Here is a 24,447-nt window from a genome sequence, read left to right on the forward strand (position 1 = left end):
TCTTATCAAACTGTCTTATTTTCCTTCTCATCACTTTGCTCTATTTTCTGAGAGATTTCCTTAAATTTATAATCCAGTTTTTTTTAATAAGAACGAATGAAGAGTAAAGGTGTCTTTATTATTACTGGGTTGAGGTTGGAGTAGATATCTTTCTGGTTATTTCATGGTTGAAGTAGCATCTCTTAGCTCTAAGAACATTCATGATTGTTATATCAACACACTGTTTCTTCCAAGTTCAATTCCGTTCAACAAATACTTACTGAGTGAGACTCTGTTCTTGGTGTTTGGTACAGGTCAGTCTATAAAACAGACAAAGATTCTTGCCATTGTGAAGCTTAAATTTGGTGGGAAAGGGGATAGAGACAGACACAGTCATAAAAATAAAAAAAATAAAAACAAGAAAGAAAACTCTGTGTTATGTTAGAAGGTGGCAAATCCTGTGGAAAAGAGGTGGGAGTGGGTGCAATTGTGATTTTAAATAGAATGTCGATATAAGCCTCATTGAGAAGATAACATTTTATCCAAAGATTTGAAGAAGGAAAAGAAGTTAGTCATGTGAGTATCTGGGACAGGAGCATTCCAGGTTGAGGAATAACCAAGGGCAGGGTTCTAAGGTGAGAGTCTGTCTGGTATAGTTGAGAAGCAGGAATAGCAAGGTGGCCACTGTGGGAGACTGACAGGAAATGAGACAGGAAAATTAATATGAGGTAAAGAGGGCAGGAGGATGGTGGGGCCAGGTCACCTCCTAGGGCATTTGAAGGCCTGCACTATCCAGTATGTTAGCCACTAGCCACGTGTAGCTATTGAGCGCTGGAAATGTGGCTAGAGTGACTGAAAAACTAAATTTTAATTTTAAAAATGGATACTAGGCTGGGCACAGTGTCTCACACCTGTAATCCCAGTACTTTGGGAGGCTGAGGTGGGCAGGTCAATTGAGCCCAGGAGTTCAAGACCAGCCTGGGCAACATAGTGAAACCCCATCTCTACAAAAAATACAAAACAGTAGCCAGACATGGTGGCATGCACCCATGGTCCCAGCTACTCGGGGGTCTGAGGTGGGAGGATTTCCAGAGTCTGGGAGCTGGAGGCTGCAGTGAGCTCCTAGCCCGGGTGACAGAGTGAGACCCTCTCTCAAAAACAAAAACAAATAAACAAAACAAAAGTTACTAGATACAGTCATTGGAAAACTTCTGTATGTTGGAAAAACTATGTTTGGAATAACTTGGGTATGTGAATCTTCTTTTTCAACTACAAATTTTATGAACTCTAGAAATAGATTAAGTATTTCTGATGAAAATTTAGTATCTAAATTGAAATGTTCTGGTTGTATAAAATATAGAATTTCAAAGATGTAGTCTTTTATTAATAACTTAATATTGATTATATGTTAAAATGATGATATTTTGGATATGTTAGCTTAAGTAAAATACAGGTATATTATTAACATTAATTCTATCCATTTCTTTTTTAATGAGACTACTAGAAAATTTTAAGCTGCATATATGACTTATTTTATATTTGTATTGGACAGTGCTGTTCTAGACTATTTTAAGGACTTTGGCTTTTACCTGAGTGAAATGGGGAGCTGTTGAAGATTTTGTGGCTCTTCATACAAGTGGTTGAGTTGTAGAACCAATTTATAGAATAGACATATACATAATTAAAAGTAAATATAGGAAACTTACTTCCTTAAGCAGTTTGACAGTTCTGATTTTCAAGGGAGATTTAAAGCAATGAGGAAATTATTTATAGCAGGTTATCAAGGTGAAGTTAGGTGTCTTACTTTCTGAGGTAGACTTAAGTACCATCTTGGAGTGCAGAATTCCAGGGACAGCAGATATTTGGCTCCTGTAGCATGACATTTTAATTTTTAATCATCATTCACTCAGTGAGGCACTGGAGAAAGAACAGTGAGTAGGATAAAGGTGAAGCTCTGCCTTCATGGAGCTTCCAGCCTGTGATAGAGGAAGTACAGGGTGCTGGAGAGTAATAGATGGGGCGGCTACTCCAGACATGGGCCAAATTGAGGCCATGGACTGAGGAATGCTGACAGGACCTGGAAGTCCCTTGTGCTGGGTGGAGCATGGTTCATGGAAAAGAAAGGGAAAAAAGTAAGGAGAGGAGCAGGGCCAAGCTGGCTCTTGAAGGGCTTTACAAACACATTAAGGGGTTAGGACTTTATTTGGAGTCCCTGCGAGCCATTAGAGGTTTTAAGCAGCATCTAATATGATTGGGTTTGCATTTTACAAATATCACTGTGGCTGCCATGAGGATGATGGATTGGGCAAGAGAAGGTACAGGGAGACTGATAATGAGACCATTAAGTATTAATAATAGTATATCTACTATTATTACTATATTTTTCTCAGTGTTGCTTAATAATTAAGAACTAGGTTAGCTGAGTTTAGGTAGACATTTTCATATTTGAGAATGTACAATATAAAGTCCAAGGTGAAGAGTGGTGCCATATATCTGTGGAAATGTATGTAATCAAATACCATTTATGTCAATTTCTGAGACCCAGCAACATCGGAAAGATGTATTTATCAAACTTTTACAATCTGAGGAGCTGCTTCAAACTCTCTGTCTACGAAGATAGAAGAGCTTGCTGAGCAAGAGTTTATTTGCAGCGGATGTGTATTTTTTACTTGCCCCATCTTGTCAGTTGTCTTCCCACAATTTTTCCTTTGGCAGGAGCAATGTCAGAGCAATGGGGGAGATAATGGTACAAACCACTTCTTTGTCTGTGTTGGCACTGGATCCGCTGACTCAGAATATAGGACTAAGAATAGCCCTCAAACTTGAAATTGTTTTCTTACAGTTACACGGTGATATTGAGTATTTTTCTTGCCTATCCAATTTTTTGTTAAAAGACAAAGGTTCATTGTTTTCTTTTTTATCTTGATAAAAGAAATAAATTGCCCAACAATGGAAAAATACAGACAAGTAGGAGAAAAAAAAGTCATCCATAGGCCTTCCATTTGGAGACATTAATAAAAAATTTGGTAGAATTTCTCTCTTTTTTTGTGATTTGTTTTGTTTCATTGTACATAGCTATGTTCTTTTTTTATATACTTGTTTTGGATCAGAGTAACTATATTGCTATACAGTTTTGACCATTCTCTATGTGTGTGTGTATCTATCTATCTGTCTATATATATATATAGATATATATATGGTTTTTAAAATGTGGCTTTAAAGTATCTCTGATGTTCACAAAATAGTATGTCAACTGTGTATATATTATATATATAAGTATATAATATATATTCACCTATTGCTACTTAAAATTTCTATATTTTATCATTACATGTAATATTTTTATACATATATTTATATATAATATATCTATATGTTTACCTATTACTGGCTACTTAAAGTTTTCATATTTTGCCATTATATGTAATAATGGGTTAACACATTTACACATGAAGCCTGTACCATCATTTCAGTCTTTTATTAGGAAAGGTTTAATACTGCATGCAGTCTTTAAAATTTGCTGCTGGGTTTCTACAAGCCAGTTGTGGACCTATGAAACCTGAACTTAGCAGCATGTTTAGCAGTGTGTTTAGAGTTCTTGGAGGATGAATAAAAATGGAACCCATAAAATGGACACATAATAATAGTCTGGCCAGGTAGAAGTGCTTGAGAGCACTTTGAACACTTGTCTCCTTTCCTTGTCTGTAAACTGTCTGAACCTATTTTATAGCATTTAGTCTTCACACCATATTTTTCCTGCCAGGGGTCCGAGGAGCAAACAGTTGTCTATGTGGTGGGGAAGGCGGGCCGCCAGCACTGGCAGCATGTCTACACCGCCGTGACCAGGGGCCGCTGCCGAGTGTATGTGATTGCAGAGGAGTCTCAGCTCCGGAATGCCATTATGAAAAACAGTTTTCCTAGAAAAACTCGTTTGAAACATTTCTTGCAAAGTAAGCTCTCCTCTAGCGGCGCACCTCCAGCAGATTTTCCGTCCCCACGGAAGAGCTCTGGAGACAGTGGAGGACCCAGCACACCGTCAGCATCTCCACTCCCTGTAGTCACAGACCACGCCATGACAAATGATGTCACCTGGAGCGAGGCCTCTTCGCCTGATGAGAGGACACTCACCTTTGCTGAAAGATGGCAATTATCTTCACCTGATGGAGTAGATACAGATGATGATTTACCAAAATCGCGAGCATCCAAAAGAACCTGTGGTGTGAATGATGATGAAAGTCCAAGCAAAATTTTTATGGTAGGAGTGATGTTTCCATGTTCCCAAGTTTTATTTAAATATCGCTAACTTCGGTGTGCTTATAAATGACTGTGTGCTTTTATTAGTGTTGCATTGTGCTGTTGGACTTAAAAACAATTGTTTTTCTCATTTCTGTCAAATTTCCCTTACCTCACTGTCTGATTTCCCCTTCATTTCCTCACTCCTTTTCTCCTTCCCAGCCTCTAACTGAAGACAACTCCCCAAAGCTCAGTTCTTTTTTCCTTTGAGAACTGACTCATTCTCACAGTTTCAGCCATCTCCTTGGCACCAGTGATTTGGCTAACAAAGTTTTGACTATAGTAACATTTCAGGCACCAGGAATTAGAGATAAGTGAGTGACAGTTCTCACTCTCACACTGATTGTCATGGTGGAGACAGTCGGCTATCAGTAATGTGGTGATTTGCTGAGTGCTCTGGCACTGAAGAGGAGTTAATGAACCAGCTGCCTAATCTGCATCTTTGTTCCCAGAAATTGATTTTCTGGAACCACAGCCCAGAATCTTACTCTCTTTTCCAATTTCTCCATTTCAATCACCATCTTCCTAGTTACATGGCTTAAAGTCTTAGAATCACCATGGACTCGCCTTCCTTTCACTCTCTACCATCTTCTTGGATGATTGGTGACCTGGCTGCCCTCCCCTTTCTTGTTCCCATTCTCGTAATGTAGCATTCCCCCTTTTCCATGGTTTTGCTTTCCAAGGTTTCAGTTACCCATGGTCAACCGTGGTCCAAAAATATTAAATGGAAAATTCCAGAAATAAACAATTCGTCAATTTTAAATTGCATGCCATTCTGGGCAGTGTGATAAAATCTCACACCATCTCATTCCATGAATCCTCCCTTTGTCCAGTGTGTCCACACTGTGGACACTCCCCACCTGTTAGTCACTTGCCACCATCTTAGTTATCGGAGTAAGTCTCAGTGTTGCAGTGCTTGTGTCAAGTGATCCTTATTTTACTGAATTGCTTTATTTTTTATGTTATTGTTGCTAACTTTTTACTGTGCCTATTTATACATTAACCTTTTTTATAGGTATGTATGTATAGGAAAAACCAATACATTTGGGTCTGGTAGTATTCAAGGCTTCAGGTGTCCGTTAAGATTCACTTCTTTGTTCAAAAGCTTCAGAGACTCCCAGGTGCCTACAACATAAATTCTAGACTATTTAGCTTGGCATTTGAGACCTTTCTCAATTTGATTCCAGTTTTCTCAACATCATTTCATTTCCCACTATGCTTTTTCTGCTTTTGTCAAGCTAGTGTCTTCAACTCACTAAAATGAATCAAACTTTTTCATCCTCCTTTTGACTCTTGCTGTGTCCCTCATCTTGAATGCCTTTTTCTGTCTCCTTCTCATTCAGCATTTGAAAAAAACATTTAGCAAAACATTGAAAAAATAAAAATAAAAACCTGCCAGTCACTGATCTAAATGTTAAGGGAGGAAAGCGCACCAGTGCCGGCTTTGTGGACATTATATTCCAGCATAGGCAATAAATACAAGAGAAAATCAAATTTCAGATTAAGAGTCTATGAGGATGAAAAACAAGGCAAGGACATAGGGAATGGCAGGGGGTGTGGTGGGCAGGAGGTGCTATTTTGACCAGGTCATGCCTCCCTAAAAAGGTGACATGTGAGCTGAGCACTGAATGTTACCAAGGAGCAGCATGGGGGCCTCTGAGGATGTAGATAATGCAAAGCCTGGAAAGGGAATGATTTTATTCAAAGAGGAAGGCAGGTTGGCCTAGTGCAGTGCTCATGCCTGTAATCCCAGCACTTTGGGAGGCTGAGGCGGGTGGATCACCTGAAATCAGGAGTTTGAGACCAGCCTGGCCAACATGGTGAAACCCCTTCTCTACTAAAAATACAAAAAATTAGCCAGGCATGGTGGCAGTCACCTGTAATCCCCGCTACTCGAGAGGCTGAGGGAGGAGTCGCTTGAACCCAGGAGGTAGAGGTTGCAGTAAGCCGAGATTGCACCACTGCACTCCAGCATGGGCAACAAGAGCAAAACTCTATCTCAAAAACAAAACAAAACAAAACAGAGGAAGGTTGGCTAAGGTGGCTAGTGAGCGAGGAAGAGGGTGCAGGTGCTGGTGTTGGAGAGATGGGCAGGGCCACGGGAATGAGTTGGGATTTTATTCTGCTTGCAGTGGGAATTCATTTGAGGGCTGGAAGCAGTGGTGTAATATCATCTGATGCCTGCTTAAACATAGTCCCAGCATGGTGGCTCATACCTGTAATCCCAGCACTTTGGGAGGCGGAGGTGAGAGAATCGCCTGAGCCCAGGAGTTTGAGACCAGCCTGGGTAATATGGTGAACCCCCATCTCTACTAAAAATACAAAAGTTAACTGGGCATGGTGGCATGCACCTATAGTCCCAGCTACGCGGGAGGCTGAGGCAGGAGGATCACTTGAGACTGAGAGGTCGAGGCTGCAGTAAGCTGTGATTGCATCATGGTACTCCAGCCTGGGTGACAGAGCAAGAGCCTGTCTCAAAAACAAAACCACAATCCCTGCTGGGTGTGGTGGCTCACACTTGTAATTCCAACACCTTCAGGAGCCAGGCAGGAGGATCGCTTGAGCCCAGGAGTTTGAGACTAACCTGGGCAATATAGTGAGATTCCATCTCTACAAAAATAGTAAAAAATTAGCTGAACTTGGTAGTGCATATCTGTAGTCCCAGCTACCCAGGAAGCTAAGGTAGGAGGATTGCTTCATCTCAGGAGTTCCAGGCTATAGTGAGCTGTGATTGTGACGTCCCATTCCAGCCTGGGTGACAGACCAAAACCCTGTCTCAAAAAAAAAGAAAAAAAAAAAAAAAAAGCAAGGCTAGGCACAGTGGCTCACACCTGTAATCCTAGCTCTTTGGGAGGCCAAGGTGGGCGGATCACTTGAGCCCAGAAGTTCAAGACCAGCCTGAGCAACATGGCGAAACCCCATCTCTACCAAAAATGCAAACAAAAATTAGCTGGGGGTGGTGCTGGGTGCCTGTTGTCTTAGCTGCTTAGGAGACTGAGGTGGGAGGATCACCTGACCCCAGGAGGTTGAGGCTGCAGTGAGCTGTGATGGTGCCACTGCATTCCAGCCTGGGCGACAGAATGAGACCCTGTCTCAAAAATAAATAAATAAATAAATACATACATACAAAATAAACAATCCCTCTGGCTTCTGTGGAGAGGGAACTGTGGAAAGTGAAGGGGAAGTGAGGAGACCAGTAGGAGGTCATCATGGGGAGAGCCTAGTGAAAGAGTGGGGCTGGTAATCTGTGGTTGGAGTGTGGATGCATTTTGGAGATGGAGTCTGTATAACTTTCTGATTAGATGTGATGAGGTAAAAGAGAAAGTAATCCAGGATGATTCCTGGATTTCTGGCTAAAGCAATTTGGGGAATAGCAGTGCCATTTCCTGAGATGGGAAAGATGTGAGGAGAACTCGTTTGGGGAAATAAAGCGTTCTCTTGTGGCGTGCTGTTGTTTAAGTTACTAATTGGAAATGTACCTGGACTTGTTGAGTAAGTCCGTGGTTGGTAGAGGAGTTTAGAGCCTCAGCAGGGAGTAGGGTAGGAAAGGCCCACTTGGGAATCATTGGCATGTAGTGATATTGCAAGGACTAGGTGAGTTAATTTCAGGAGAGACTGCAGATAGAGGAGGGGGCCTGATGACAGAATTCTGGGGTATTCCCAGCTTTTAGAGATCTGGCAGAGGAGGAGGAACTAAAAAGGAGTGTGAGTGAGATAGAAGGAAAACCAGGGCTGTGGGGAGGGAATAAAAGCCTGGACTGAGGGGGCTGGTGAGAGAATGGGAGCTGAAAGGGCGGAGGAAGCAGTGGAGGCAGGTTTTGAAGAGGGCTGCTGAAAAAAGAAGGAAAGGTGGTTGTATCTGAATAGAGGACTTGTGGTCAAGGAAAACTTTATTGGTTTGTTTACTTTGGATGGGTACATTAAGGCATCTTAGTGTGTTGCTAGAATGGTCCAATGGAGAACCAGAAATTCATGATTCAGGGAGAGAGGATAATTGCAGAATTGGAGTCCTGACGTGGGTAAGATGGGAAAAATCAAGAGAATAACTAGAGGGGTTGCCCTGAGACAGGATTAGGGACAGAGGACCCTTTTTCCATGACAACCAGAAGGAATGGGTGTAGTACGTTGGGTATATATAGCAGAGGGAAGATAAAGCAGTTCCAAGCTGATCACCTCATGCCATCCTCTCTCTCTTCTTATTATAATCCAGCTCAGTTTCTGTGTTGTTCCTGAAGGCTTCTTTTTCTCTGAACTCCTGTAGGAGGGCACACACCCCTTCTGTACTGCACCTGTAGTAACCTTGTTTGACTCTGTAAATAAAGCTTCTTGAGGACAGTGTATCATTTTTGATCTGCTAGAACATTTGGTACAATTGCTGTTCACATGGTAATACCTCAAAAATACTTAGTGATCAAAATATGAGTCATGAATATATGGCGATGAAACTTTTTTTTAAAAAATCAGACATTCAGAATATTGTTCTTTCAGGTTGTACTGAAAGTCATACTTTTATTCTTCTAGTGCCCCTCCTTTAGTTTGACAGTTCCTTTTGGAATTGCTTTTGAGGCAGTAAAAGATCCTTTTGAATGTTTATAAGGGAAGCAAACTTCTGTTGAGACCTATTCTGAGTTTAGGAAATAACCCAAAGGCATTTGCTTTCTGGTTTTATGAGTTAGAGGATCCAATTTGGGTAATGGATTTTGTGTTAAAAAGAAAAAAAAAGGTGGGATTATAAGTAATTTCCAAATGTGGTTCTAATAGAAGTGTAAGAATTGCTTTAAGTGCTGGCAGCAGACTTGTTCAGTTGAGTCTTTAAGCTTCCAAGGCTGTAATAAAGGTAAGAAGGGGCCACAGGGGGAACCCAGGGGAGAAAGTGCTGGTGTAACCTGCCAGAACCAGGCTGAGTTGTAAATGGGGAATACTTATATCCTCTGTCCCCATATGGATATGGCACAGGGAAAACGTTCTCTAGGAGTCGGTCTGACACAGGGCACGGTGTGTGGAGTCCTGGCACATTAGGAGACTACAGATGTAGAACAGCATGGCTGGAGCACAGGGCACAGTGAGAGGATGGGCTGCAGACACAGGAACTGGCAGGGAGGATGGACACAGGGTCTTCTGAAGAGGTCGTAGATTCTTCTGATTGCAACTGAGAACAGTAGAAGCATTTTAAGTACTCTGTGAATTGAAATTTATGATGGTGATATTGACTGAGGTTTAGTGGATGATGATGGTTAGGGAGAGAGTAGGGAATGAGTTCTCAGCCAAAAGATTATTTCAGTAACCTGCGTAAAATGAGGAGGTTCTAACATTAGGTAGTAGCAATGGGGTTGGAGAAGAGATGCTAAGGATAGAGCTGATGGGACTTAATGATCAGTTGGATTCAGGTGGGGTTGGGCCTGAGGATAACTCCAAGACTTCTGGCTAAGGCATACAGGTGGATCCAGCACCATTAATCAGATTGGGAAAAGAGTCTGAGGGTCAGGTTTTGTGGGAAAAGTGAGTAAAATGGACATAGTTGAGGGTGGAGGGGGAAGTTTCTTCTTTTTCCCCTCTTGGACAGTAGAATCCCTGCTGATTCTAGGTTCCATTTTGTACCCCAGGTCAACTCTTTGATAGAATTTCCATCTCAGGAAAATATCTTTTTCTGAAATTAAACTTGTCATCTCTTACAGAGGTCCTGGAATAAGGCTTTTGACATGAGCAGAAAAGAGAGGCAATTCCAAAGAAAGACCCTTTTCCTAAAATTGAATTGTGCTTACTCTTTTCATTTCTTTATGGTGGTGAAACTTCATCATGACGATACTGGCCCACTTCAGAATCATTAGTAGCACAAAGAATATGACTGTGGCATTGCAATGTTTTATCTTACACATCCAGAACTGACTTCATGGGCAGGCAACATGGGCAGTCCTCCAGGACTCAGGCCCACACTTAAAAAAAAAAAAAAAAGTTCTGTAATCACCATCTTGAAATTCTTAATTTTGAACAAGGGGCCATCATTTTAATTTTGGACTGGGCTGCCAAATTATGTAGTGGGCCCTGTCTACACCTTTAGAAGTTAGACACACATACTAATTCAGTACATAGTTACTTCTAAATGCCAGACCCAGAGCTGGGTGCTAGAGATACCACAGTGAGCAAAGCAGATGTGATCCTACAAGGAGCTGATAGCCAATTGCTTTGGTTGCTGAAGCCTTTCAAGGGTTGGGGAAGGTGCATGATTTCTTTTTCTGAAGCAGAGGGAATACAAGTACGTAGGGTAGACTAACTACATTTTTACAAAATTAACTTTGTTATTTTAATTGTTCTAACAGGTGGGAGAATCTCCACAAGTGTCTTCCAGACTTCAGAATTTGAGACTGAATAATTTAATTCCCAGGCAACTTTTCAAGCCCACCGATAATCAAGAAACTTAGTTTTATTTCAAATTGTTCCGAGTAACTATGTTTTTCTATTGGAGACAAAATGAACATCGTAACGTCAAAGTACCAAGATAAAAAAAGTTTCCTATAACTGGAGTTTTAAGGTATTTGTGTTAGCAAATGTTTTAAATCCATTTCATCAAAGTATTAATGATTTCAACACGTCATCATGAGAACTGGTAGCACTGGACATAAGTGAAGAGATTAGATATTTTATATACATATATATTTTTATACAATTATGTACATTAAGCCAGGCACGGTGGCTCATGCCTGTAATCCCAGCACTTTGGGAGGCTGAGGCAGGTGGATCACCAGAGGCCAGGAGTTTGAGACCAGCCTGACCAACATGGTGAAACCCCATCTCTACTAAAAATGCAAAAATTATATGGGTGTGGTAGCACATGCCTGTAATCTCAGCTACTCAGGAGGCTGAGGCAGGAGAATCGCTTGAACCCGGGAGGCGGAGGTTGCAGTGAGCTGAGATTGCACCATTGCACTCCATCCTGGGTGGCAGAGCGAGACTCCGTCTCCAAAAAAAAAACAAACAAACAAACAAACAAAAAAAAACAAACAATTATGTACATTAAAACATTGTATTTTTAGGATAATGCCTCGTAACTTTGATGATCGTTGTGTGTTACCTTTGCCAATGGGTTGAAGCAGTGGCAAAGAAAAGGTGTAATTACATCTGTTGATGTTATTGACATGCCTCCTAGGATGTTGAAATGTGGTCATTTTACAAGACTGCTGCTCACTTCATCACTGCTGCCTGGGGCCCAGCCTACCTGGGACTTTTCCTTGGAAGTGCTTTCTGAGTTGGGAGCACATTGTTTTGAATATGTTCCACTTAGGAAGGTTTTTTCTCTCTCAGAATGATTTGATTTTTAAATTTTTATTTATGTTAAATGGTAAAAGAAAAAGTCAAGATGAAAAATATATCTGTTAACCCATTTATGCCTAGTGGTCCATTATTGGGACACTAAACATGTGAGAGTTATTTATATCCCACTGCTCAAAGTCCTCACCAACGTCTGATTGCAAAAATTCAGAAAGTTGCAACCTCAGGCATAAATGGTTAATAGCTTTATTGAGATATAATTCACATACATTTCACCCATTTTAAGTATATAATTCAGTGGCTTTTAGTATATTCATCAAATTGGACAACTACCATTATTATCAATTTTAGAACTTTTTTTTTTTTTTAATGATAGAGACAAGGTCTCACTATGTTTCCCAGGTTGGTCTCGAACTCCTGAGCTCAAGTGATCCTCCCACCTTGGCCTCCCAAAGTGTTAGGATTACAAGTGTGAGCCAGTGTGCCCAACCTGGAACATTTTCATACCCTACAAAGAAACCTCACACTCTGGCCGGGCGTGGTGGCTCATGCCTGTAATCCCAGCACTTTGGGAGGCTGAGGTGAGCAGATCACCTGAGGTCGGGAGTTCGAGACCAGCCTGACCAACATGGAGAAACCCCGTCTCTACTAAAAATACAAAATTAGCTGGGAATGGTGGCGCATGCCTGTAATCCCAGCTACTTGGGAGGCTGAGGCATGAGAATCGCTTGAACCCAGGAGGTGGAGGTTGCGGTGAGCTGAGTCACGCCATTGCACTCCAGCCCGGACAATAAGAGCAAAACTCCGTCTCAAAAAAAAGAGAAACCTCACACTCCTTAGCAGTAATCCCCTGACTTCCCCCATCCCTAGGTAACCTGATTTACCTAGTCCCAATAGACTTGCCTATTGCAGACATGTGGTTCTTTGTTCCGGACTTATTTGACTAGCATAATGTTTTCAGACTCCATCCGTGTTGTACCAGTGATGTGTCAGTGCTTCGTCTCTTTTATTGCCAAATAATATCCCAGTATATGGATAAAGGATATTGAATTTGTCCATTCATCAGTTGATGGACATTTATTTGGGTTATTTCCTAATTTTTGGCTATTATGAAATGCTGCTATGAACATCTGTGTATAAGTTTTTATGTGGACATATGCTTTCACTTCTTTTGGGTATATAACTAGGAGTAGAATTGATGGGTCATATGGTAACTCTATGTTTAACATTTTGAGGCACTGCCAGACTTTTTCCAAACTAGCTGCACCAATTTATATTCTCACCAGCAGTGTATGAGAGTTCCAGTTTCTCCCTATTCTCTCCAACGTTTATTATTATCTGACTTCTTGATTATAGCCATCCTAGTGGGTATGAAGTAGTATTTCATTGTGGTTTTGATTTGCATTTTTCTTATGGCTAGTGATGTTAAATAGCTTTCGTGTGACTATTGGCCATTTGTATGTCCCCTAGAGAAATGTATATTCAGATCTTTTGCACAGTTTTAAATTGGATATTTTTTCTTTCTGTCACTGAAATCTGTATTAGTGAGGGTTCTCCAGAGGGATGGAACCAATAGGATATATGTGGATATAAAAGGGACTTTATTAGTGTATTAGTTAGGGTACCCTAGAGGGATACAACTAATAGGATATATATATGTGGGGGGGGGGCGGGGAGTTTATTAAGTATTAACTTACATGATCACAAGGTCCCACAATAGGTTGTCTGCAAGCCTGAGGAGCAAGGATAGCCAGTTGGAGTCTCAGAACTGAAGAACTTGGAGTCTGATGTTTAAGGGCAGAAAGCATCCAGCACAGGAGAAGGATGTAGGCTGGGAGCCTAGGCCAGTCTCGCCTTTTCATGTTTTTCTGCCTGCTTTATATTTGCTGGCAGCTGGTTAGATTGTGCCCACCAGATTAAGGGTGGTTCTGCCCTCCCCAGCCCACTGACTCAAATGTTAATCTCCTTTGGCAACACCCTCACAGACACACCCAGGATCAACACTTTGCATCCTTCAATCCAATCAAGTTGACACTCAGTATTAACCATCACAATAAGAGAGAATTGGCTCACACGATTATAAAGCAAAGTCCCACGATAGGCCATCTGCAAGCTGGGGAAGGAGAGAAGCTGATAGCATGGCTCAGTCCAAGTCTGAAAGCCTCAAAACCAGGGACGCTGACAGTGCAGCCCTCAGTCTGAGGCCAAAGGCCCAGGAGCCTCTGGGAAGCAATTGGTGCAAGTCCCAGAGTCCAAAGGTGGAAAAACCTGGAGTCTGGTGTCCAAGGGCAGAAGGAGAGGAAGTCAAGCATTCTGCACAGCACAGGAAGAAAGAGAGGGAGCAGACTCAGCAAGCACGCTGCTTATCTCCATTCGTCCACCTGCTGTGTTCTAGCCTCACTGGCAGCCAACTCGATGGTGCCCACCCACACTGAGGGTGGGTCTTCCTCTCCCACTCCACTGACTCCAATGTCAGTCTCTGTCAGCAACACCCTCACAGACACACAGGGGAACAATGCTTCATCAGCCATCCAGGTATCTCTCAATCTAGTTGACACCTAATATTAACCATCACAAAATGTAAGAATTCTTTACATTTTCAACATTTAAGTCCATTATCAGAAACATAATTTGCAAAATTTTCCTCCCATTCTGTGAATTTTATTTTAATTAACCTGATAGTATCTGATATGGTTTGGCTCTCTGTCCCCACCCAAATCTCATCTCACATTGTAATACCTATGTGTTGAGGAAGGATCCTGGTGGGAGGTGATTGGATCATGGGGGTGGTTTCCCCCACGCTGTTCTGGTGATGGTGAGTTCTCATGATAGCTGGTGGTTTTAAAGTATGGCACTCCTGCCCCAACCCCCTTCTGCCACCTTGTAAAGAAGGTGCTTGCTTCTCCTTTACCTTTTGCCATGATTGTGGTTTTCTGAGGCCTCCCCAGCCATGTGGAACTGTGAGTCAATTAAACCTCTTTTCTTTATAAATTACTCAGTCTCAGGTGTGAAAATGGACTACTAAGTGTCCTTTGAGGCCCAAGTTTTAAATTCTGATGATGACCAGTGTATCTGTTTTTGTTGTTGCTGCTGCTTGTGCTTTTGGTGTTATATCCAAGAAACTATTGCCTATCCAAAGTCATGATGATTTACTACAATTTTTTCTTCTAATAATTTACAAGTTTTGGCTCTTATACTTAGATCTTTGATTCACTTTTAGTTAATTTTTGTATATGGTGTGAGGTAGGGATCCCACATTATTCCTTTGCATGTGACAATTCAATTGTTCAGCTCCATTTATTGAAGAGATTATTCTTTCCCCATTGAATTATCTTGGTACCCTTCTCAAAAATTAGTTGACTGTAAATGTGAGGGTGTATTTATGGATTTTAAATTCTATTCAATTGATTCATGCATCTTTTTTTTTTTTTTTTTTCTTCTTCGAGACGGAGTCTTGCCCTGTTGCCTAGGCTGGAGTGTGGTGGCTCGATCTCAGCTCACTGCAAGTTCCGCCTCTCAGGTTCATGCCATTCTCCTGCCTCAGCCTCCCAAGTAGCTGGGACTACAGGCGCCCACCACCATGCCTGGCTAATTTTTTTTTGTATTTTTAGTAGAGACGGGGTTTCGCCGTGTTAGCCAGAATGGTCTCGATCTCCTGACCTTGTGATCTGCCCACCTTGGCCTCCCAAAGTGCTGGGATTACAGGCATGAGCCACTGTGCCCAGCCCGATTCATGCCTCTTTTTTCTTTTTCTTTTTTTTTTGAGATGGAGTCTTACTCTGTCACCCAGGCTGGAGTGCAATGGTGCCATCTCAGCTCACTGCAACCACCACCTCCTTGTTTCAAGCAATTCTCATGCCTCACCCTCCCGAGTAGCAGGCATTACAGGTGCTTGCCACCACGCCTGGCTGATTTTTTGTATTTTTAGTAGAGACGGGGTTTCACCATGTTGGCCAGGCTGGTCTCAAACTCCTGACCTCAGATGATCCGCTTACCTTGGCCTCCCAAAGTGCTGGCATTATAGTCATGAGCCACTGCGCCCGGCCCATATGTCTATTCTAATGCCAGCACCATATTGTCTTTATTATTGTAGCTTTGTAGAAAGTTTTGAAATTAAGAAGTGTGAGTCCTTCAACTTTGTTCTTCTTTTTCAAGTTTGTTTTGGCTATTATGGGTCCCTACATTTCCATATGAATTTTAGGATCTACTTGTCAGTTTCTGCAAAGAAGCAAACTGGAATTTTGTTCAGGAGTGTGTTAAACCTACAGATTTGGGAACTATTGCCATTTTAACAGTATTAAATCTTCTGACTCATGAACACAGATGTCTTTCCATTTGCTTAGGAAAGACAGGCTGGAGTGCAGTGGTGCAATCACAGCTCACTGCAGCCTCTACCTCTCAGGCTCAAGCAGTCCAACCTCTTTAACCACCCCACCTCAACCACTCTTGTAGCTGTGACTACAGGCCTGCACCACCTCACCTGGCTAACTTTTGTATTTTTTGCAGAGATAGGGGTTCACCATGGTGCCCAGGCTGGTCTCGAACTCCTGGACTCAGGCAGTCTGCCCACCTCGACCTCCCAAAGTGCTGGGATTACAGGTGTGAGCCATCATGCTTGGTTCTTCTTTAATTCTTTGTAGTTTTCAGAGTATAAGTTTTGTATTTCTTTTATTAAATTTACAATGCTCTTTGTTAAATTTATTTCAAAATATTTAATTTTTTATCCTGTTGTAAATGGATTTTCTTAATTTATTTTGGTTCATTACTGCTACTGTATAGAAATGCAGTCGATTTTTATATATTGATCTTGTATCTTCCAACCTTGCTGCACTTGTTTATTAGTTACAGTGGGTTTTTAGTGGATTCCTTAGGATTTTCTATATAAGTGATCATATCATCTGCAAATAGAGATGCTTTTAGTGCTTCCTTTTTCATCTGTAGGCCTTTAATTTCATTTTCTTGCTAATTGCCCTGGTTAGAGCCCCTAGTATATTGTTGAATAGAAGTGGCAAGAGTGAATATCCTTGTCTTGTTCATCATATTAGGGAGAAAGCATTAAATCTGCCACCATTAACTGTGTTTGCTGTGGATCTTTCTTTTAAGTCCTTTATTGAGATGAAGAAATTCTCTTTTGTTCCTAGGTTGTTGTGTATGAAGGGACATTGAATTTCGTCAAATCCTTTCTCTATGTATTGAGATCATTGTGTAGTTTTGTCCTTTATTGATGCAGTGTGGTAATTTTTGGATGTTAAATCAATCTTGTGTCCCTGGAGTAAATCTCACTTGGTCATAGTATACAATCCTTTGTATGTGCTGCTGGATTTGGCTTGCTGGTTTTTTGTTGGGGACTTTTGCATCTAAATTCATGAAAGATATTGGTCTGTAGTTTCTTTTTCTTGTGATGCCTTTGTTTGGTTTTGGTATCAGAGTAATAGTGACCACATAGAATGAGTTGTGAAGTGTCCCCTTGTCTTCTATTTTGGAAGAGTTTGTGAAGAATTGGTATTAACTCTTCTTTAAATTAATCTGGCCCTGGGCTTTTCTTTGTGGGGAGTTTTTGTTTTGTTTTGTTTTTGTTTTTTGAGATGGAGTTTCGCTCTTGTTGTCCAGGCTGGAGTGCAATGGCACGATCTCGGCTCACCCCAACCTCCACCTCCCAGGTTCAAGCGATTCTCCTGCCTCAGCCTCCCAAGTAGCTGGGATTATATGCATGTGCTACCATGCCCAGCTAATTTTGTATTTTTAATAGAGACAGGGTTTCTCCACGTTGGTCAGGCTGGTCTCAAACTCCCAAACTCAAGTGATCCACCTGCCTCAGCCTCCCAAAGTGCTGGGATTACAAGCATGAGCCACTGCACCCGGCATGGGAAGTTTTAAAGCTACTGATTAAATTTCTTTACTTGTTATAGGTGTATTTAGCTTTTCTATTTCTTCTTGAGTCAGTTTTGACAGTTTTTCTCTAGAAATTTGCTCATTTAATCTATATTTTTTAATTTTCTGACATACAGTTGATCATAGTATTCCTTTATGGTTTTTTAAATTTCTGTAAGGCTGGTAGTAAAGCCTCTGTTTCATTCCTGATTTTAGTAATTTGAGTCTCTTTTTTTCTTGGTTTAGCTAAAAGTTTATGAATTTTAATCTTTTTAAAGGACCAACTTTTGGTTTCATTGATTTTCTTTACTGTCTTCCTATTCTCTATTTCATTAATTTTAACTCTTGTCCTATTACTTTTAGGAGGGCCTCTTAAGGAGGGGTCGTATGCTGACTTAAATTGAGGGTTGGTCAAAGTTCAAAAGCCTGGGGGAAGGAAGCTTAATATTTTCTCTAGATCAGTAAGTACAAGCAATTCAGCTAAGAATTTGCTTCATTTATGAAGCAAAGAATGGTAATTTTCAGGACAGTCTGTGTCTGATTTTGTTATAAGTAAATGGGGGAAGGGAGATAAACATCTGTGAGTCTTATCTAAGTCACCCGGGGAAGGATGGTTCTTTATAATAAGCCATTTCCTGGAACACGCAGGCGATGGGCAGGGGGGTTACTACAACCTTATAGAAATAAAATTTCTTTAACTCTGCCTATATTTCAGGGTATAGTCCTCAGGTAAAGCTTCACATTGTCAAGAAGAACTTGAAAATACCTTTTTTCCATAAAAACACAATGAAACTAATACTATGTAACGGAATATTCCAAAGCACTAGTTCTTATAAATAACTATTGGCCAAAATACAAATAACTGACCCAATTCAAAATTCTCTAAGATTTCATTAAGATCCTTTTGTAGTTCATAAGCCTGATGCATGGGTGTTCACACGCATGTGTGAGATGTGCCTCCCTCAAACCTTGTTATGGCGCCAGCCCATTACCGGTCTGTCATGAAAAAAAAAATATTTCAGTAAAAGAGGATACTTCTAGTATCCTTTTTAAAATTTGAATTGGAAGCAAATAGTATTTCATCCCAGCATGTTAAAATTGCAAGGGTCACCTACCCCAGCTTACCATTTGCTAAACACGCATCAGTCACCAGTGGAACACACATTTCCAATGCTAAAGGTCTTGACTGCTTGGTGAAAACCACTTTGCAACACTGGTGTTGGAAATTACTTTCTTATATTAAGCTGAAATCTACCTCATTGGAACCTCTGCTCATAAGTCCTGAGTCTCATGTAGTTCAGACCTTGTCTCTTCTGCCCCATCTGGCTACTTATCTCCAGTTTCTCCTGCCAGTCTTCCGGTGGCATAGCCCCAAACCCTTTCATTTCATAGTTTGTCACTGCCCTTTTTAAGAGGACTGGGGTGCTCAGAACTTATTGGCTGACCCTAGCTCTTCCTTTGGCCTGGTCACTATATTTGAAAAGTGCTACCTGAAATCATAAGAGCTTTTTTGTTTTGTTTTTAACAGCCATTTTCTATTGTTGATTCATTTTAGTTTTGGTTACAACTGAAATATCTGTCTTTCACATGAAATATAGCTTCTCATTTGCCTTTCTTCACAAAGTCTGTTCTAACTACACATTTCCTTGGCTTCAGCCTCATGCTTGATGCAGAAGTGAGGAGAGTGCAATAAAAATTTGAACAGTTGCTTGGATTTTTGCAATAATAGATTGTCAGTTGGGGTCATATGACTCTCAGGTGCTAGAAAATACTCTGCCTTTCAGAACGTAACCGTGGGCACACTGAATGCAACTGTATAAAAATGAATGTGAATTTTTAAAGGTAGCATAATTAAAGTTTGTACATTTTAACAGTTTATGTAAATCTGTCTCATAGAATACATGTAATTTTCTCTGAGGTGGATGTTGTGATACTTGATCAATATTTGTCACCTACAGTAAATGTACCATTGGTCTTGGAGGTATTTCTGTGTGTGTTTTTAGCCCATTCTCATATATTTCACTCCTCATCTTCCGAATGATCCTGTGGTACAGACATGACCTTCAGTTTCAGGTAGAGAAGCTGACTCGTGGTGACTAAATGTCATACTACCAATAAGTACTGGAGCCTGAAATCAAACCTGGACTCAATTTCAATACACAGGTTCCTACTCTTCAGTGGTGCTTCTCAGGTTGATAGGAAAACCTCTCACCTTTAGAAAATTATACAAAAATAAACATTGTGGCCGGATGCGGTGGCTCACGCCTGTAATCCCAGCACTTTGGGAGGCCAAGGCGGGTGGATCACTTGAGGTCACGAGGAGTTTGAGACCAGCCTGGCCAACATGGTGAAACCCCATGTCTACTAAAAAAATACAAAAACTAGCCAGGTGTGGTGGCGGGTGCCTGTAATCCCAGATACTTGGGAAACTGAGGTAGGAGAATCACTTGAGCCCCGGAGGCAGGGGTTGCAGTGAGCTGAGATTGTGCCACTGCACTCCAGCCTGGGCAACAGAGTGAAACTCCATCATCATCTCAAAACAAAACAAAACAAAAAAAAATTGTGTAGGACTCAGGCTAGAACATTGAAATATATTCAAAACAACACCAATAATGCATATCCTCTTTATTTGGCTTTTTAAAATCACTGTTTATTCCATTTGGTAGAGGGTTTTATTTTTTTCCATACAAATATTTGAACAATTTTGAATTCCCCAAAACCATACATAGACGATAAATACCATGCTATTAAAGTATTAAATTTGTACAAAAATACTTTACAGTTTAATACTTGTTTGTTACAAATAAAAATACATATTTAAGTGACTCATGATCTTTTTTTCTTTTTTCTTAACATGATCCTGCTTTATACTTTCTTGCCCTGGCGGTTCTGAAATGTGATTGAAATAATATTTTTTTTGCACAAAAAGAAAGGTGATTTTTTTTTTATATTTCCTTAAACAAAGGACACAGTGTTCGAATACTTTGCCTAAGTGGTAGTTTGAATTATTGACCAAAATGAAAATGTTTGGAAAATAATCATTTCAATATGGAGAGTCTACCATCAATATACAGATCTATTTATTTTTTTATGTTCACCAAATAATAACAGTTATTAGTGTAGCTATTCAAAATATCTGAACAAATGAAAACAGTTGCTGACAAACATTTAAAGCAACTGTCACAATTTATTGCTTTGAGGGATGGTAATAATTGGCAATGCATTTGTGAAAAATGTATTTACAATTTCGGTAAGTGGCATGGCTCAGAGCAAAAGATAGTCCAGTGTCATTTTTAAGTACATGTGCTGTACACCCTCAATATTACCAGTTTTCAAAACATGTCAAGCAGTATGAGTTTGGTTTGCCTATCATTAAGATGAACCTCATTTTAATAGACTCTTCATTCTCTGAAGTTCTTAGTCTTGAATTTTAAAAATAAGATAATATAACTAATTCTCATGTTTACTACACACTCTAATTCATTATCAGAGATTTTCAGCTATTAAAAATGTGTCCTTAAAAAAAAAACAGGTCACAAGACATATCCTGTTTGATAATTTGTTGCATAGGGAATAGCATACATCTTAGTTAAAATCATTCCTATACGTGGGCAAAACATTTACCACCACCTATTATGGTCTCCTACGTGCATCATTGCTGAAACATTTTAAGATAACTTAATTTTATACCTGTACCCCTCCCATTGTGGTAGTCCCAGCAGTTTACCAAACACTAGTTCCCCTAGTAGAGCCAGCCTATGAGAAGAAAAGCTTTGTTGGCCAAGTTCTTACATTAATGACTTCATAGTAAGAAACTGATTTCAAAGTGAATTAAGGAAATCATCACAGAGAATATTTTCAAACAGATGTTTCTCTTTTTAAAAAGTGATAGTAAGATGAACTTGTAAAAAATTTCCTCTGATGTTAATTGTAGAGTTGTGGGGGACGGCCTATTTTTCTCTACCGTTGGGACTGGCAGGGCATTGCCCACCATATACCATAGTGGTCACCAAAAAAGAAACCTCTTCAACTTGAAAAGGGAAGTGAACATGAGCCATGAGAGAGATTTAAAAGACCCCTGTGCTTGCAGTTAATGCCACGTTGATTGATTATCTGTGCTTCAAAGGTCACAGAAATCTTAAAGGATTTTTAGCACCATGTAGATATTGTCTTTTGTCCTGCTTTATAAAAAGCGTTGCTATAATGTATTAGTGGGTTCTCGTGTCTCCAAATTACCACCGTGGCTAGGCTGCTGGAAAAAAGCACTGTTCTGTTCACTCCAATCTCCTGGTAGACTCTGTTGGTCTATAGACTTCTGTGAAGCCAGTGGGTTTCTACTAATAACCAGGTCCAGCTTATTCCCGGATTCTGCTATGAGGGGCACAACAAGGCAGCAGTCAAAGTCTCTGGTTCGGACATGATTCACCTGAAAGGTCAAGAACAGCCATTTTGAATTATCGTTGTAACCATAATTCCCAAAACCCGGAGTAACATTTCAGGTGCAACAAGTTGTTTGAAGTCATGAAGGTGCTAAAATGAGCGCCATGAGGTCTATCCTTGTGACTATGCTGTGACATGGCTACTGGCTCAATTGCCATTGTCTGCTAGTAAATTGTAAGACTCTCGAGGGCAAGGAAGACATACACATCCTACCTATCCTCATGCCAAGGAGGTGGCTCCACCCACAGTGGGGGTGCTGCAAGTGCTGAATATTATCCCTAATTTACAGATGAGAAAAGCAAGCCACAAAGAGGTTAAGAGCTTTGCCTTAGATCAGTAGTTGGTAAGGGTCATAGGATGTAATCCCAGGCCAACTGGCTGATCTCAAAGCCTGTGCTCTGAATCACGATGCTGAACTACCTCTCCCACAAGCGAGCTCCACCAGGTGCAGTGGCTCACACCTGTCATTGTGGCACTTGAGGAGAACAAGATGGGAGGATCGCTTGATGCCAGGAGTTTGAGACCAGCCTGGGCAACATAGTGAGACCCTGTCTCTACTAAGAAAATTTTTTTAAAAAAATGAGCTTATCCCCTCTTCAGCTTATACATGCACCCATCTTCTTCCATTTCTCCTTCTTCACCAACACAAGTTTTTAAAATCACCCACATGCCGGTTCTACTCCTTGATCTTCCATTCTCTCCTCAGTTTTTTCAGGTCCTCCCTGACACATTGCACTGCTGGAAAATGACCCTACTTGTCAAATCCAGGAATGTTCTGGAGTTTGCATCCTCCTTGGCGTTTAGCATTTGCCGCTCGTGACACCTCCTCACCCTTAAAACTCTCCTTCCTTAGTTCTACAACCCCACTTCGTTTTGATCCTTTTACCATTTTAACTGCTCGCTTTCAGTCCTTTCCTGCCTTTATTTCTTCCTGTCCTTTACATTTGGTTATTGTGGCCAGGTGCAGTGGCTCACACCTGTTATCGCAGTACTTTGGGAGGCTGAGGTGGGTGGATCCCCTGAGGTCAGGAGTTCGAGACCAGCCTGCCCAAAATGGTGAAACTCCATCTCTACTAGAAATACAAAATTAGCCGGGCATGGTGGTGGGCGCCTGTAATCCCAGCTACTTGGGAGCTGGCTGAGGCAGGAGAATCGCTTGAACCTGGGAGGCATAGGTTGCAGTGAGCCAAGATCACGCCACTGCACTCCAGCCTGGATGACAAGAGAGAAACTCTGTCTGAAATAAATAAATACATAGATACATTTTGTTACTGTTAGAATCCATCCTTGGTTCTGTTCTCTTCTTTGTTATAAGGCCACCAAGGGCAACTTGTCCTAAACCCCACCCTTCAGTATCCTAAATCTTTAACTCTGGCTCTAATATCTCTCCTCACCAACAGATCCAAACCACCAAATGCTTCCCAGACTGCTCTATCACAATGTGCTGAAAATATTAAAGACTCATTAGTTCTGAAAGAGCTGTCTTATCTTACCTACCCCTACCTGGACTCCTTGCCTGTGATCTTCTCCTCCCCAACCCACCTTCGATAAACCCATAATAATATTGTATTGCCTTTCTATGTTACCAATTATATCATTATCCTGCTTAAGAAACTAATATGCCTCCAGCATAAAGTTCAAGAGCTTTACCATCACATTCAAGGCCCTTTATAATCTGAATGTAGTCTACTTTTACAGCCTCAACTGCGATGAGAGTAGAGCTAGCTCTATTTATGGATTAGGAAGACACTCATAGAAGGTAAGTAACTTGTCCATAGTTATTCATTCAGCAAATATTAGCATGTCTGCGGAAAACTAAGTGTCCCCAAACTCCTAGGATAAGACTAATTGTTCTATTGCCATAGTAAAAATCATCACCAGAATTGATTCCAAAACTATCAAATTGATCAGTGACAACTTGCTTCAGCGAACACATCCCTGAAAGCCAACCAATGAGTGGCAGCCTCCTGCTTTGAAAGTCAGCTGTTTGGTGACAAACTGTTTCCAGGTGAGTACACTGCTAAGACTGACTTCAACCCACTCCATTTTCCTGCAAAATGCTCTTCCCAAAAACTGTACATAAGATCAGAAATCTGCTTTCCTAAATAAAACTATACCTGACCTCAATGTTACTATATTTAAAGTAAGCAAGGTTCAGCTTTTTGGTTTCAGATATTGTGAGAGATACTGAGATATCAAATACCACATAATGGGAAATGAGAGAATAAGGTACTATCCCTGCTCTCAAAAAGTTTACAATCTGCTGGGGAGTATATGCAGGGAAACAGGAAGGTGGTTTTTTTTTTTTTTTTTTTGGAAACTCACTCTGCACCCAGGCTGGAGTACAGTGGCATGATCTCGGCTCACTGCAACCTCTGAACAGGCAGTTTTAATAATGTAAATTCTACCAAAAGCAAAAGCTGCTGTTCGATATAGGAGGGGCCCCTAGTCCAGACTTGAGGTAAAGGAGGTTGGGTGGTGTCTGGTGAAGTTAGGCTTTGAAGGGGAGTCCTCTAAACTAGTGGTTTTCAATTTGGCTGCTCACTGGAATCACTGGGGGAGGTGTAAAAACACACCGATGCCGTATCTGTCTCCTAG

At 40.9% G+C, this 24,447-nt stretch overlaps 2 protein-coding genes and 1 non-coding gene across 27 annotated transcripts in view; 2 read left to right on the forward strand and 1 right to left on the reverse strand.

Annotated features, from left to right (window-relative positions):
- Positions 1 to 16,232, forward strand: part of HELB (DNA helicase B) — a 41,151-nt gene extending 24,919 nt beyond the window's left edge. For 3 of the 4 annotated variants that reach the window (NR_135080.2, NR_135081.2, NM_001370285.1), the window contains 2 exons: positions 3,743 to 4,234; positions 10,590 to 10,788. Coding sequence is in view for 2 of the 4 variants with exons in the window: in NM_001370285.1 (NP_001357214.1) it covers positions 3,743 to 4,234; positions 10,590 to 10,691 (594 nt within the window). In the remaining 2 variants the exon portion in view is untranslated. Of the gene's footprint in view, positions 1 to 3,742; positions 4,235 to 10,589; positions 10,802 to 16,044 lie in introns of those variants that run through there. The other variant, NM_033647.5, reaches the window with a different exon arrangement.
- On the forward strand, positions 18,308 to 18,411 carry LOC124903104 (small nucleolar RNA U13). The gene has a single exon (XR_007063641.1). It is a non-coding gene; the product is annotated as a small nucleolar RNA U13 (small nucleolar RNA).
- GRIP1 (glutamate receptor interacting protein 1) overlaps positions 20,020 to 24,447 on the reverse strand; it is a 721,908-nt gene continuing 717,480 nt past the window's right edge. For all 22 annotated transcript variants that reach the window (XM_047428622.1, XM_005268757.5, NM_001379351.1 and 19 more), the window contains one exon: positions 20,020 to 21,835. In XM_047428622.1, coding sequence (XP_047284578.1) covers positions 21,608 to 21,835 — 228 coding nt within the window. In that variant the 3' untranslated portion in view covers positions 20,020 to 21,607. The remainder of the gene's footprint in view (positions 21,836 to 24,447) is intronic.

Source organism: Homo sapiens, chromosome 12 (genome assembly GCF_000001405.40).
Source record: "Homo sapiens chromosome 12, GRCh38.p14 Primary Assembly".
NCBI lineage: Eukaryota > Metazoa > Chordata > Mammalia > Primates > Hominidae > Homo > Homo sapiens.